At 42.9% G+C, this 15524-nt stretch overlaps 1 protein-coding gene across 7 annotated transcripts in view; it reads left to right on the forward strand.

Annotated features, from left to right (window-relative positions):
• Positions 1 to 15524, forward strand: part of ABCC2 (ATP binding cassette subfamily C member 2) — a 69955-nt gene that overhangs the window by 29216 nt on the left and 25215 nt on the right. For 5 of the 7 annotated variants that reach the window (XR_945604.4, NM_000392.5, XM_047424598.1 and 2 more), the window contains 4 exons: positions 1163 to 1289; positions 5453 to 5629; positions 6935 to 7102; positions 7234 to 7414. Coding sequence is in view for 6 of the 7 variants with exons in the window: in NM_000392.5 (NP_000383.2) it covers positions 1163 to 1289; positions 5453 to 5629; positions 6935 to 7102; positions 7234 to 7414 (653 nt within the window). In the remaining variant the exon portion in view is untranslated. Of the gene's footprint in view, positions 1 to 1162; positions 1290 to 5452; positions 5630 to 6934; positions 7103 to 7233; positions 7415 to 7572; positions 7688 to 15524 lie in introns of those variants that run through there. The other 2 variants (XM_006717631.5, XM_017015675.3) reach the window with 2 other exon arrangements.

Below are 15524 nucleotides of genomic sequence, written 5' to 3' on the forward strand. Positions count from 1 at the left end.
CATTTGTGTGTGCAGATTGTGGATGGAGGTAGTGCAGCGTTGGCAGGTGGCCGGCGTCTCTGGGTATGGTAGAAGACAAACCCAAGAACCTGAATTCAGTATAAGTTCATTCATTCAAGAATAGCAATCAGGAACATTGGAATCTGGCTTCTCAGTGTGTATCTTCTGCACATAGTGTGTCTCTTAAGCACCATGTGTAATAGCACACCCAATTCATCCACTGAGCACAGCACACAGAGTACACCAGGAGGCTGAATAGGCCATATCTTTGTTTCTTCACAACTGAGCACATCTTACTGTCTCCTTACTATACTCCTGACTTCCCACTCCTCTATCTTGTTCCTACAGCCTTTAACATGGACTCCAGAGCTAGCCCCAGGATGAGTTGGGGCAGGAGCACATGCTCTGAACCTTCCTAACCCAGCAGTTTCCCTTTCCAGAGAGGAAACTGGGCAGGGCTTCCACTTCACTGTTATAGGTCTGGAAGAAATTCACCTCAATGCGCAGATTCAGAAAGACTGTGAACAAGTTCCTAATGTTCCTAATGTTCTAGAAACTCAAATAACAGGGCTGGCACACACAGTTTCCGGGAACCTATCCCATTGTGGGCCCCTACTCAGCCAGATACAGTCAAATATTTAGGAGAAGGGCCAGGGAATCTACTTTCAGCAAATGTTCCAGGTGACACATTTAGTACCTAATTTGGGAAATGTTAATCTAGTCCAATCCCATTAGTAAGAAAGGAGGGGTCCTTAGTCCAAAGGAAGTGACCTTCCAAGATAACATAGACCAGCAGTGTCAGGGTTGGGACTTGAACCAAGCCAGGTCTCCAGGCCCCCACTAGGGTCTTGTTCAATGGGTAACCATGTTAGTTCTAGGAGAATTTTATCATTGGAAATGCACATTTGTCACAAACAGCTTATAGATGAGTTGGATAAATTAGGGCTCATTAGGGCTCATTCTCTAGCCTTTTAGAGCTAAGAAAAGAAAAAGAAAAAGTATTAAAGAAGCACTTTGGGGTCTTGTATATCCAAGGCAAATTTTCCAATCTTGAGGGGAAATCTCCTGATACCAGACTTCATGGAGACTCAGAGAAGTGACTTGAACTACTCTTCAATACCCAACCCCTGCTATCTCCTTCAAAGACATTCCTGTCTTTCAGTGTGAACCTGGACATTATGGCAGGCCAACTTGTGGCTGTGATAGGCCCTGTCGGCTCTGGGAAATCCTCCTTGATATCAGCCATGCTGGGAGAAATGGAAAATGTCCACGGGCACATCACCATCAAGGTGAGAGGGAATGCCAATGCAAAAGCCTCTGACTCCCGAATGTCAGCAGCTTCGTGCTTTTGCCTCACTGGGGAGAAGGCACTGAGGGCTAGTAGGTGAGGTCTTGGAGACATCCGATAGATTTGTGGACTGTGATTCTCCTTCCCATTTCAGCTTTATATAATCAGTTGCTGGGGGTAAGATTTGGGAATCTGCATTTTTAATGAGCTCTAAAGGTGATTCTCATACGCATACTACAGTGTGAAAACTGCTGATTAGAGAGGTCTTCCTTCAAAATATAGGCATTTCTGGCCAGGCACGGTGGCTCACGCCTATAATCCCAGCACTTTGAGAGGCCGAGGCAGGCAGATCACCTGAGGTCAGGAGTTCGAGACCAGCCTGGTCAACATGGTGAAACTCTGTCTCTACTAAAAATACAAAATTAGCCGGGTGTGGTGGCATGTGCCTGTTATCCCAGCTACTTGGGAGGCTGAGGCATGAGAATCACTTGGGCCCAGGAGGGCTGCAGTGAGCCAAGATCATGCCACTGCACTCCAGCCTGAGTGACAGAGAGAGACTCTGTCTCAAAAAAAAAAAAGTATAGGCATTTCTGCTTTATCTATGTATTTGTTTCTGAAAAATCATGCATCCTGCAAAACTGTACAATAAAAATAACAGGACCTAGGGGAAAAGAATTGTAATAGATCACTAAAAACTTATATAACTTTGTAACCAAACTACCAACAGAAACAATACCAACCATAACAGTAATATCAAGAGCAATAAAAACAGTAGATTGTACAATCATCACTGGCATTTGCACCCAACATTGCAATTACTCTTGGGCCTTTCTCTTCCTCCTTTGAGAGCTAAATCTTTGATGGCATTTGCTTCCAAAATAAAAATCTGGTGTAGGGTGTTGTCTTCTTCATCAATTTTGTATATATATATGTGTATGTGTATATACACATATATATACACACATATGTGTATATACACACATATGTGTGTATATATACACACATGTATGTATACACACGTATATATACACACATGTATGTATACACACATGTGTATATATACACACATGTGTATATATACACACATGTGTATATATGCACACACGTATGTATACACACGTATGTATACACACGTATGTATACACACACGTATGTATACACACATGTATATACACACGTATGTATACACACATGTATATATACACACGTATGTATACACACATGTATATATACACATATATACATATATGGGTATATATACACACGTGTATATATGTGTGCATATATGTGTATACACACATATGTGTGTATATACATACACACATATGTGTGTATATACATACACACAAACATATATGTGTGTGTATGTGTATATATACATATATATACACATATACACACACATATGTGTATATACACATATACACACACATATGTGTATATACACATATACACACACATATGTGTATATACACATATACACACATATGTGTATATACACATATACACACACATATGTGTATATACACATATACACACACGTGTATATACACATATATGTGTATACATGTATATACACATATGTGTGTGTATGTGTATATGTATGTATATACACACACATATATGTGTGTGTATGTATATACACACACACATATGTGTGTGTGTATATATATATTTTGAGACAGAGTCTCACTCTGTCACTCAGGCTGGAGTGCAATAGCACAATTTCAGCTCACTGCAACCTCCACCTCCTGGGTTCAAGCAATTCTCCTGCCTCAGCCTCCCAAATAGCTGGGATTACAGGTGTGTGCCACCATGCCCCACTAACTTTTTTTTTTTTTTACTTTAAGTTCCAGGATACATTTGCAGAACGTGTAGGTTTGTTACATAGGTGTACATGTGCCATGGTGGTTTGCTGCACCTATTGACCTGTCATCTAGGTTCCCTCCCCTCGCCCCTCACTCCCCAACAGGCCCTGGTGTGTGTTGTTCCCTTCCCTGTATCCATGTGTTCTCCCTGTTCAACTCCCAGTTATAAGTGAGAACAAGCAGTGTTTGGTTTTCTGTTCCTGTGTTAGTTTGCTGAGGATGATGCTTCTAGCTTCATCCATGTCCCTACAAAGGACATGATCTCGTTCCTTTTTATGGCTGCATAGTATTCCATGGTATATATGTACCACATTTTCTTTATCCAGTCTATCATTGATGATGCCCGGCTAATTTTTGTACTTTTAGTAGAGGCGGGGTTTTGCCATGTTGGCCAGGCTGGTCTCAAACTCCTGGCCTCAAGTGATCCATCTGCCTCAGTCTCCCAAAGTGCTGGGATTATATGGGTAAGCCACTGGGACTGGCTAATTATGCTTTTTTTTTTAACGGAGGAAAATGTTTTCATGGCATCTTCATCAGTACTCTGAACTTTTCCAGAGAGCTAAATTTAGGGAAAATTATAGTTATTTTTGAATTGTTATCACTACTTGTACCAAACAGAGGAGTATCTATAGATTTTCAGCTTTTTTTCTTAAGATCTTCATATATATATTGCTAAGGGTTTCTTTTTAAGTATGAGAATGCTTCCTCCAATTGATTTATATTGACCTGCTTGACAAAAAAATGTAAGAACCAGCTGTTCTACCATATACTGACATCATTTCCTGATTTAGCAATCACTAATGAACTAATCTGCAATTTAAAAAACATGCGCTATAGCAGAGCAGGCTACAGATTTAAGTCTGTCTTCTAACTCCTTTTGGGAAGCTTTTTTCTTGCTAACTCATAACTGGGTTCTTCCTCAAACACAGGCCTTTGTTGGTCTCCATTTCTGGTCTTGTTTTTTTTTTTTTTTTTGAGACGGAGTCTCAGTCTGTCACCCAGGCTGGAGTGCAGTGGCGTGATCTCGGCTCACTGCAACCTCCACCTCCTGGGTTCAAGCAATTCTCTGCCTCAGCCTCCCAAGTAGCTGGGATTACAGGCACATGCCACCATGCCCGGCTAATTTTTGTATTTTTAGTAGAGACAGGGTTTCACCATCTTGGCCAGGCTGGTCTTGAACTCCTGACCTCGTAATCCACCTGCCTCAGCCTCCCAGTGTGCTGGAATTACAGGCGTGAGCCACCGCGCCCGGCCTCCATCTCTGTTTTTTGTTTGTTTGTTTGTTTGTTTGAGATGGAGCCTCACTCTGTCTCCCAGGCTGGAGTGCAGTGGCCCAATCTCAGCTCACTGCAGCCTCTGCCTCCTGGGTTCAAGCGATTCTCCTGCCTCAGCCTCCCGAGTAGCTGGGATTACAGACTTGTGCCACCAAGCCCAGCTACTTTTTGTGTTTTTAGCAGAGATGGGGTTTTGCCATGTTGGCCAGGTTGGTCACTCCCGATCTCAGGTGATCCGCCCACTTCGGCCTCCCAAAGTGCTGGGATTACAAGCGTGAGCCACCGCGCCCAGTTTCCATCTCTCTTTGGTTATAATCTTGCTTCTTAAGATGTCATCTATACCATGGGTCCCCAACCCCGTGGGCCTCAGACTGGTACTGTTCCATGGCCTGTTGGGAACCAGGCTACACAGGAGAAGGTGAGCGGCGAGCGAGCATTATCACCTGAGCTCCACCTCCTGTCAGATCAGCAGCAGCATTAGATTCTCATAGGACCATGAACCCTATTGTGAACTGCACATGCCAGGGATCTAGGTTGCATCTACTGCCTGATGATCTGAGGTGGAACAGTTTCATCCCGAAACCATCTCCCACCACCACCCCATCTATGGAAAAATTGTCTTCCACAAAACCGGTCCCTGGTGCCAAAAAGTTGAGGACCGCTGATCTATACCATTCCCTTGTCAGTGTTAGCCTTTCGTTGGTCCTAGTAAACTCAATTGGGTTTGACTAAAACCCTCTTCTAGAAGCATCACACACATTTATCATCTAATTTTCAGGATCATGGCTGAAAAACGATAGTCCAACAAAAGTGGATGGGGCTTTTAATGGTGAAGAGGATATTGAGTCCTGAGAGTGGAATAACTACAAGCACGTGAATACATATCAGATCCTCAGTCATCCTGATGCACAGTTATTTAAATTTAAGCTCCATTTGTTTCTTCCCCTCTCCAGCCACCCCGTCCTTCAACCCTGCGTTTCTGGAGGTGCAGCTGTAACATGATCTGATCCTTTTTCATCTAGGGCACCACTGCCTATGTCCCACAGCAGTCCTGGATTCAGAATGGCACCATAAAGGACAACATCCTTTTTGGAACAGAGTTTAATGAAAAGAGGTACCAGCAAGTACTGGAGGCCTGTGCTCTCCTCCCAGACTTGGAAATGCTGCCTGGAGGAGATTTGGCTGAGATTGGAGAGAAGGTACTTGGGATAACAAGGGATCTTCAAGGGTGAAGGCATATTGAAGAGAAAAAGTGAGGATGGTGGTGAAGAACTACACAGGGGTAATCTAGTTGATTAATTTAGGTAGTCATATTTGGAATAAACACCAGAAATCATGTGTTTGTACTAAGTGGCCACAATATTCCATGTAAATAACTCAGAATTTCAAACTTTCTGCTTGGAAACAGATACAGGAATTATGTAATTTAAATCAAAGATGATGAGGCAAAGGCCATGAGAAGTTAACAGTGACTGGCCCAAGGTTGATCTCACAGGTGGTGGGGCAGAAGTGGGACCAGAGCCTAGGTGTCCTGATTCTACTTCTGTATCAGTGAGGCCAGAGGAAGATTCTACTAATCTGCTTTGAACACTTAGATGTTTATTGTGAATTATCTTTTGATGTTATTAAAGGCCTTTCCTAAAAATAGACTTTTAGGGTTGGGCACAGTGGCTCACGCCTATAATCCTAGCACTTTGGGAGGCCAAGGTGGGTGGATCACCTGAGGTCAGGAGTTCAAGACCAGCTGACCAACAAGGTGAAACCCCATCTCAACTAAAAATACAAAAATTAGCCGGGTGTGGTAGCAGGCGCCTGTAGTCCCAGCTACTCGGGAGGCTGAGACAGGAGAATTGCTTGAACCAGGGAGGCAGAAGTTGCAGTGAGCTGAGATTGCGCCACTGCACTCCAGCCTAGGAGATGGAGCAAGACTCCATCTCAAAAAAAAAAAGATTTTTAATGACTGTATTGTATTTATTATATAGATCTAGCATAATTTATTTTGAAACCTCTAAATAAAGACCCTGCATATTTAGGATGTTTTCATCCTCCCTCCCCATTACTAGAAATAAATGTAGCAATCTTGGGGAACAAAAATCTTGAGATGTTAGAAGATTAATGAAGATACAGCTCTGGAGTAATTTTGTTCATTAATTAGCATACGCTTATTGAGCACCTACTATGTGCCAAACAGTGTTTTAAGTTCTGGAATTACATCCATGAACAAAATAGAAAAAACCTCTGCTCTACATTGTCACAGGGTGACAAGCAACAAAACTATTAAATAAGTAAATTATCTGATAAAAAGTGGTAAGTTGGCCATATCTAATTATTAGGACTAAAGTTATTTATTTGAATCAGTTCTTTATTTGTATAAAGGAACTTGTAAGATTTTTAACCCCTTGACACCTTATTGAGACAAATTTCTTCCTTTTACCCCTCCCTATTAGATTCTGTGAAGGTGGATCTAGGGAGTAGTGCTTAATATGAATTATTTTCTTCTTCAGGGTATAAATCTTAGTGGGGGTCAGAAGCAGCGGATCAGCCTGGCCAGAGCTACCTACCAAAATTTAGACATCTATCTTCTAGATGACCCCCTGTCTGCAGTGGATGCTCATGTAGGAAAACATATTTTTAATAAGGTCTTGGGCCCCAATGGCCTGTTGAAAGGCAAGGTGAGAAATCATTGAACATGATGAAGATATAAAGGTGGGGTGGGAGGGAGAGGGGAGGACATGTCTGGCAAGTAAGACAGGGAAGATGGTGGACATATGGTAATCAACACAACTTCATATTATTTTTATAGACTCGACTCTTGGTTACACATAGCATGCACTTTCTTCCTCAAGTGGATGAGATTGTAGTTCTGGGGAATGGAACAATTGTAGAGAAAGGATCCTACAGTGCTCTCCTGGCCAAAAAAGGAGAGTTTGCTAAGAATCTGAAGACATTTCTAAGACATACAGGCCCTGAAGAGGAAGCCACAGGTATGTAAGAAGGATTGGGACAAGATAGAACTTGGGCCATGGGTGGAATGGTAAATCAATATCTAATTCCTGAACTGCTCAGTATCCAGTGAACTAGATTTGGAAGCAAACTACCCAGAGATTCAAACTCTGCTTTCTGGGTTCTGTGTCTCTTTGAGGAAACATAGAAATTGAAACTCTATGCCTGGGCCAAACTGGTGACTTATCCTGCTCATCTGATGTCTGACACACAATCAAAGGACACTCTTTAGAAGGGTACAACTGAAAGTCTGAGTGAGTAACCCTTGTGGAAGAAACACCAGTGGCACAACGGTCCCTCTTTTAGGGATGCCATGTTCCTATTGACTCTAGTCACACATGTCATCCCATCTACCCCAAATCCATTAAAACCACTTCCTCGACAGCTTCATGGGCTGGCACTATTAGTGTACTGCTAAATTCTTGGTAGATCCTAACAAAGGGATTTTGATTAATATACCAAAACCACTGGGTGTTTGAACCAGAAAAAAATTATGGCAGTTGCGTAGTCTCAGAGTATACCATAGCAACAGCCTCTAATATCACCACCATTGGGTTCACCAGTTAGCCCCAGTCAGCAGTGGAGCTCTGTTTACTGTGACCCTTCCCAAGGACCTGCCAACAGCAGTCCTGTGCATTGGTCTGGTTATCACCCTCAGGTGGTTGTCACCAGCAGGAGTTCAGGTCGAGAAAGCCAGGGCAGAAGGCTGTAGAGGCATTCCAGAAATCAGTCAGATGAGGGAGTAGCTACACAGCCTACAAGTGACAGCATGTTCTGACCATGAGGTGAGGACAAGTAATGGTTTAAAACCACCCTGGGAGGGCCAGGCACGATGGCTCACGCCTGTAATCCCAGCACTTTGGGAGGCTGAGGCGGGTGGATCACCTGAGGTCAGGAGTTCGAGGCCAGCCTGACCAACATGGAGAAACCCCGTCTCTACTAAAAATACAAAATTAGCTGGGCATGGTGGCACATGCCTGTAATCCCAGCTGCTTGGGAGGCTGAGGCAGGAGAATTGCTTGAACCCAGGAGGCAGAGGTTGCGGTGAGCTGAGATCGTGCCATTGCACTCCAGCCTGGGCAACAAGAGTGAAACTCCATCTCACACACACACACACACACAAAACACAACAACAACAAGAAAACCACCCTGAGAAGCCCAAGAGTTTGAAAGAAAAATCTAAGCCAGGGCTGGATGTGGTGGTTCACACCTGTAATCCCAGCCCTTTGGAGGCCAAGGCGGAAGGATCACTGGAGCCCAGGAGTTTGAGACCACCCTGGGCTATATAGTGAAACCCCATCTCTGCTCAAAAAAGACAGAAGAAAAATCTAAATCAGGAAGTCTGTAGCTTTGGAAGGAGAAGGCGGGAACAAAGAACAGGATGGTGTAGGTGACAGGAATTGGGAGCCAGGCCAGGAGAGTGGGGCAGGAGTATCAGGGACCAGCAGAAAGGAGCAATTGAAAGCTTTGCATCAGCCTTTATGTGCTCCAGGTAGTAGCGTGGAGAAAACAAAAAGCACCTGTGAAGGGGTGGGTTGCCCCTCCACACCTGTGGGTGTTTCTCGTAAGGTGGAATGAGAGACTTGGAAAAGAAAAAGACACAGAGACAAAGTATAGAGAAAGAAATAAGGGGACCCGGGGAACCAGCGTTTAGCATATGGAGGATCCCGCCAGCCTCTGAGTTCCCTTAGTATTTATTGATCATTCGTGGGTGTTTCTCGAAGAGGGGGATGTGTCAGGGTCACAAGACAATTGTGGGGAGAGGGTCACAAGACAATTGTGGGGAGAGGGTCAGCAGACAAACACGTGAACAAAGTTCTTTGCATCATAGACAAGGTAAAGGATTAAGTGCTGTGCTTTTAGATATGCATACACATAAACATCTCAATGCTTTACAAAGCAGTATTGCTGCCTGCTTGTCCCACCTCCAGCCCTAAGGCGGTTTTTCCCTATCTCAGTAGATGGAACATACAATCGGGTTTTATACCGAGACATTCCATTGCCCAGGAACGGGCAGGAGATAGATGCCTTCCTCTTGTCTCAACTGCAAGAGGCATGCCTTCCTCTCATACTAATCCTCCTCAGCACAGACCCTTTACGGGTGTCGGGCTGGGGGACGGTCAGGTCTTTCCCTTCCCACGAGGCCATATTTCAGACTATCACATGGGGAGAAACCTTGGACAATACCTGGCTTTCCTAGGCAGAGGTCCCTGCGGCCTTCCGCAGTTTTTGTGTCCCTGGGTACTTGAGATTAGGGAGTGGTGATGACTCTTAACGAGCATGCTGCCTTCAAGCATCTGTTTAACAAAGCACATCTTGCACCACCCTTAATCCATTTAACCCTGAGTTTGACACAGCACATGTTTCAGAGAGCACGGGGTTGGGGGTAAGGTCACAGAATCTTAAGGCAGAAGAATTTTTCTTAGTACATAACAAAATGGAGTCTCCCATGTCTACTTCTTTCTACACAGACACAGTGACAATCTGATCTCTCTTGCTTTTCCCCACATTTCCCCCTTTTCTTTTCGACAAAACCGCCATCGTCATCATGGCCCGTTCTCGATGGTCGCTGTCTCTTCGGAGCTGTTGGGTACACCTGCAGACATGTGATAAGTGAATCTACTGATGGGACTGACAGTAGGTACTTCTACCAACCAATTTTGGACTGCAGGCATTAAACATCCTGGTGCTCTCCCTAGGCAAATAGGAGGATAACGATACCCAATGGAAATATTTATCATCATCCCTTCTTCCTCAGGTTTGGCAGGGCAGCGATCATCTGTGGGGCCAGGTACCCATACGCTATCATTAACATATACTTCTATAGGATTATCCATCCATGTGACTGCCCGAATTAAGGGCGGGAAAGGCACATAGGCCCAGTAGGTATAGTTAGCTGCAGCTGCTCCTGCAGGCATAGGGAGACTTACCACCGTTGATACAATCATCAAGGCTGCAAGCAGCATACTCTCTGGGGTTTGTGTCACCTTTGTGTTCTCTAGATATTTTGTAGCTAACTGCGTCAGCTTCTTTAGTTGTGCCCAAGTTGGCGGCTCTGCCTTCTTGGTGGATGGCAACTTCATCTGTTCTTCTGACGTCACCATTTTGTTCATCTTGTGAGTCAACGGTGCTCGACTGTGGTGTCTCCGTCTCCGCGGAGGTGCTTTTCTTTGCATCTCCGATGGGTTCATTGTAGAACTTCAAATGTCTAGTGCGTATCCAAACAGGAAGCTGATTTTCTCCTGGTGAAACACAAGCAAAACCTCTCCCCCACGTTATCACCTTCCCTATTTCCCATGTCTTATTTTTATTATCTTTCCACCAAATTAGTTTTCCTTCATGTGGGCTGTTCTTTTTACCAGTAAGATGTTGTTCTGCAGAAGTAGTAGTCTGATTTCTATAAATGTTTAAAAAATTTAAAGTATAGAGTGCTAGATTAAGTTGCATCTGAGGAGTGGTACACTCCTTACTGTCTCCTGCTTCTTTTTGTTTAACTAATTGAGTTTTGAGTGTTCTATTAGTTCTTTCAACTATGGCCTGTCCTTGGGAATTATAAGGCATTCCTGTTGTATGTGAAATTTTCCACTGACTTAAGAATTTTTGGAAAGCTTTACTACAATATCCTGGTCCATTGTCAGTTTTGATTTTTTCCGGAACTCCCATTACAGCAAAACAAGACAATAAATGTTTTTTTAACATGGGAAGTACTTTCTCCTGTTTGGCAAGTTGCCCATATGAAATGTGAATAAGTATCAACTATTACATGAACATATGATAATTTTCCAAATGAAGGTACATGCGTGACATCCATTTGCCATAATGCATTAGGACACAGACCTCTGGGATTAACTCCTGCCTCTTGAGTGGGCAGGTGTAAGACTTGACACTGGGTGCAATGTTGTACGATATCTTTTGCCTGTTTCCATGTGACATCAAATTTGTTTTTTAATCCTGCTGCATTTACATGAGTCAAAGCATGAAGTTCTTGTGCTTTTATGAATGCAGATGATACCAGTAAGTCAGCTTGTTCATTTGCTTTAGTCAAAGGCCCTGGTAAATTACTGTGTGCTCGAATATGAGTAATATAAAATGGGAAATTTCTTTTTCTTACAGTTTATTGTAATAAATTGAATAGCTGGTTTAACTGATCATCCATGCTATATTTAATTAGAGCTGTCTCAACATCCCTTGTAGCCTGTACTACATATGCAGAATCTGATATAATATTGATAGGTTGGTCAAAATCTTGTAACACTGTAATGACTGCAACCAACTCTGCTCTTTGAGCCGATTGATGTGGAGTTTTGATTACTCGTTCCTTCGGCCCTGTGTAAGCTGCTTTTCCATTGCTGGAACCATCAGTAAATACTGTTAGAGCATTTTCTAAAGGTTCACGTCTGGTAATTTTAGGTAGAATCCAAGTAGTCAATTTTAAGAACTGGAAGATCTTTGTTTTTGGGTAATGATTATCAATAATTCCCACAAAATTAGCAAGACCAATCTGCCATGCACCAGAATTGATAAAGGCTTGTCTAACTTGTTCCTTGGTTAAAGGGACAACTATTTTGTCTGGGTCATTTCCACATAATTTTATTATTCGTAATCTTGTCTGACCAATTAATGTAGCTATTTGATCCAAGTACAATGTAAAAGTCTTAACTGTACTGTGAGGAAGGAATGACCACTCCACAAGATCAGTATTTTGAATAATGATGCCTGTTGGAGAATGTGCAGTGGCAAAAATCAAAAGTTGGAGTGGGGCTAAGGGATCTATTCTATTTATTTGCGCTGACTGAATTTTTTCTTCCACTAATTTAATTTCTTTTGTTGCCTCTGGGGTTAACATTCTTTTACTATTTACGTCTGAGTCTCCTCTTAAGATAGAGAACAAATTTGACATGGCATAAGTAGGAATGCCTAGAGTTGGCCGAATCCAATTAATATCTCCCAGCAATTTTTGAAAATAATTTAGTGTTTTTAATGTGTCTTTTCTTATTTTTATTTTTTGTGGCTTAATTTTTCTATTTTCTATCTGCATCCCTAAATAATGAAAAGGAGTAGAGGTTTGGATCTTATCAGATGCTATTGCCAGTCCTGCATTGGCAACCTCTGCTTGCAGAAATGTATAACAGTCAATTAATTTATCTTTTGTTTCTGCAGCACATAAAATATCATCAATATAATGAATAATATAACAGTCTGAAAACTTGTCTCTAACTGGTTGAAGAGCTCGACCTACAAAAGTCTGACAAATAGTTGGACTATTAAGCATTCCCTGAGGTAACACTTTCCACTGAAACCTGGTGGCTGGTTCTTTATTATTTATGGCTGGTATAGTAAAGGCAAATTTTTCGCAATCCTGCTCCGCCAGAGGGATGGTAAAAAAGCAATCCTTTAGATCAATTATAATTAAAGGCCAGTCTTTTGGGATCATGGCCAGAGAGGGCAACCCGGGTTGGAGAGGCCCCATGGGTTGAATTACGGCGTTTACGGCCCTTAAGTCAGTTAACATACGCCATTTGCCTGATTTCTTCTGAATTACAAACACAGGAGAATTCCAAGGCGAGAACGAAGGCTCAATGTGACCCTTTTCTAACTGTTCATTTGCTAATAAATGTAAAGCCTCCAGTTTTTGTTTTGGTAGCGGCCACTGATTTACCCACACCGGTTTTTCTGTTTTCCAAGTTAATGGTATGGGTTTAGGAGGCTCTACAGTGGCTGCCCCTAACAAGGATACCCTATTCCTTCTCTTTCTTGATTTATTTTAGCCTCAACTGGAACTTTAATGCCATCTTCATTTTTTCCTAGTCCCTTTCCTGGTATATATCCCATCTTGGTCATGATTTTTTGACTCGTGGGGCTATATAATGGAGCGGGCATGATTTCCGCACCCCATTGTTGTAATAAATCTCGACCCCACAGATTAAGAGGAATTGAAGTAATCATTGGCTGAACAGTACTTTCTTGATTATCTGGCCCTAAGCAATGTAAAATCTCAGTACTTTGATACACTTCTGAGGCTGTGCCTATGCCGACAAATCCTGTAACAGCCTTTTGTTTAGGCCAATTTTTTGGCCACCGATTTAAAGCAATGATAGAGACATCTGCTCCAGTGTCTACCAACCCTTCAAACTGTTTTCCTTGAATAATGGCCTTACACACAGGTCTGTTCTCTGAGACCTGACTTGCCCAATATGCAGCCTTTCCTGTCGGATCAGTGCTTCCAAACCCTCCTGTTCTTTTTATTTCACTATTTCCACCCTTAATATATGGCAGGAGTAATAATTCAGCAATCCTGTCTCCTGGACTGGCACTCCAAGGAATTGAAGAGCTAATAACCAACTGAATTTCGCCTTTATAGTCTGAATCAACCACACCAGTATGAATTTGAACTCCTTTTAGATTTAGACTTGATCTTCCCAAGATTAGTCCTACAGTCCTCTCAGGCAGTGGGCCATATACCTCTGTGGGGATTTTTTGTGGGGGCTCCCCTGGAAGCAGAGAGACTGCTTGTATAGTACATAAATCTACTGCTGCACTGCCGCTCGTGGCGGGGGACAATTGTTGTATCGTGGTAACTGGCTTATTCCCTGAAACACTTGGGACAGTGGGTTTGTTGTCCCTGAAAACCCTGAGGAACAAATGGCTGAATTGGGAATGCCCCAGTTTGTTGTGGGGCCTGAGGCTGGCCCCTTTGGTCGTTTCCCGACAATGGTTGCCCATTTTTATCAAATTTAGAACGACATTGACTAGCCCAATGTTTTCCTTTTTTACATCTTGGACATAAGTCAGGTGGCTCTCTACCTGTTGTAGTTGCTTGAATAGTTATATTCTGTTTATTTGAGACTGGGCAATTCTTTTTTAAGTGACCAATTTGACCACAATTGTAACATTTTCCTCCAAATGTTCTAACTTGTCCTCCTAAAACAACTCCTGTTATTGCTTGAGCCATAAGCATAGCTTTATGCATAGCTCCTCTGATTCCATCACAGGCTTTTACATATTCTGAGATTACATCTGATCCTGCGGGAACCTTTCCTTTTAATGGCTTAATGGCTGATTGACACTCAGGATTGGCGTTTTCATATGCCATCAACTCCACTATGACCTTACGGGCTTTTTCATTGGCAATTGACTTTTGAGCAACATCTTGGAGCCTTGCCACAAAATCAGGGTAGGGCTCTTTCGAACCTTGTCTTACTGTATTAAATGAGGGGCAGGCGCTTCCTGGGTCTTGGATTTTTTCCCAGGCTCTAAGGCAGATAGCTCTAACTTGCTCAATGGCCTCATTTTGCATTAATGCTTGTTGACTAATAGTACTCCAATTTTGACTTATTCCTAATAGTTGATCTGCATCTATGTTAACTGGAGGATTGGCAGCCCTATTTCTTCGGACCTGTTCTTGTACCCCATCAATCCACCAAGTCTTAAATTGTAAAAATTGAGAGGGTGAGAGAGACGATTTTGCCAGAATCTCCCAATCATAAGGAATGAGTCTATGTCCATGAGCAATGGAATCTAATAATGTCCTCATATAAGGGGATTTGGGTCCATACTGTTTTACTCCCTCTTTCATATCTTTTAGCATTTTTATCGAAAAAGACTTGTATCTGGCCTCAACTGTGAGAGGCTCTCCCTCTTGGGCTCCTTCTCCAGGTGGCATCGGTTCTAACGTTACTGGGAATTGCCACGCCTCAGTATCTCCTTCCTTTCTTGATTTATCAATAATTTCATGTAATTCACTACCCTGTCTACTAGGTGGTGCCGTAGGATTAAGTCTCCTAGTGGGCGGCTGAGGGTATGGCGCCCTGCCCTGTGGTGCTGGGGGCATTCCTGGATATCCATACTGACTTTCTGGGGGTGGCCGATACTGAAGTTCGGCTGGCGGCCAGTATTGATAAGCTACTGGCGGTTGGGTCTTATTTTCTTTAACCTGCGTTTGAGGTTGTAGTGTTACGGGCACCTGACCTGCTGGAAGAGGACTTGGCCCTCGTGGCTTAGACTCTGATGGCCCCACTAATTCTGGACCTTTTCCTTCTAATTTTAACGTTTCAGGATATATCACCTCCTGTAATTGATTATAGTCAACAT

The sequence above is a fragment of the Homo sapiens genome, chromosome 10 (assembly GCF_000001405.40).
Source record: "Homo sapiens chromosome 10, GRCh38.p14 Primary Assembly".
Classification (NCBI taxonomy): Eukaryota; Metazoa; Chordata; class Mammalia; order Primates; family Hominidae; genus Homo; species Homo sapiens.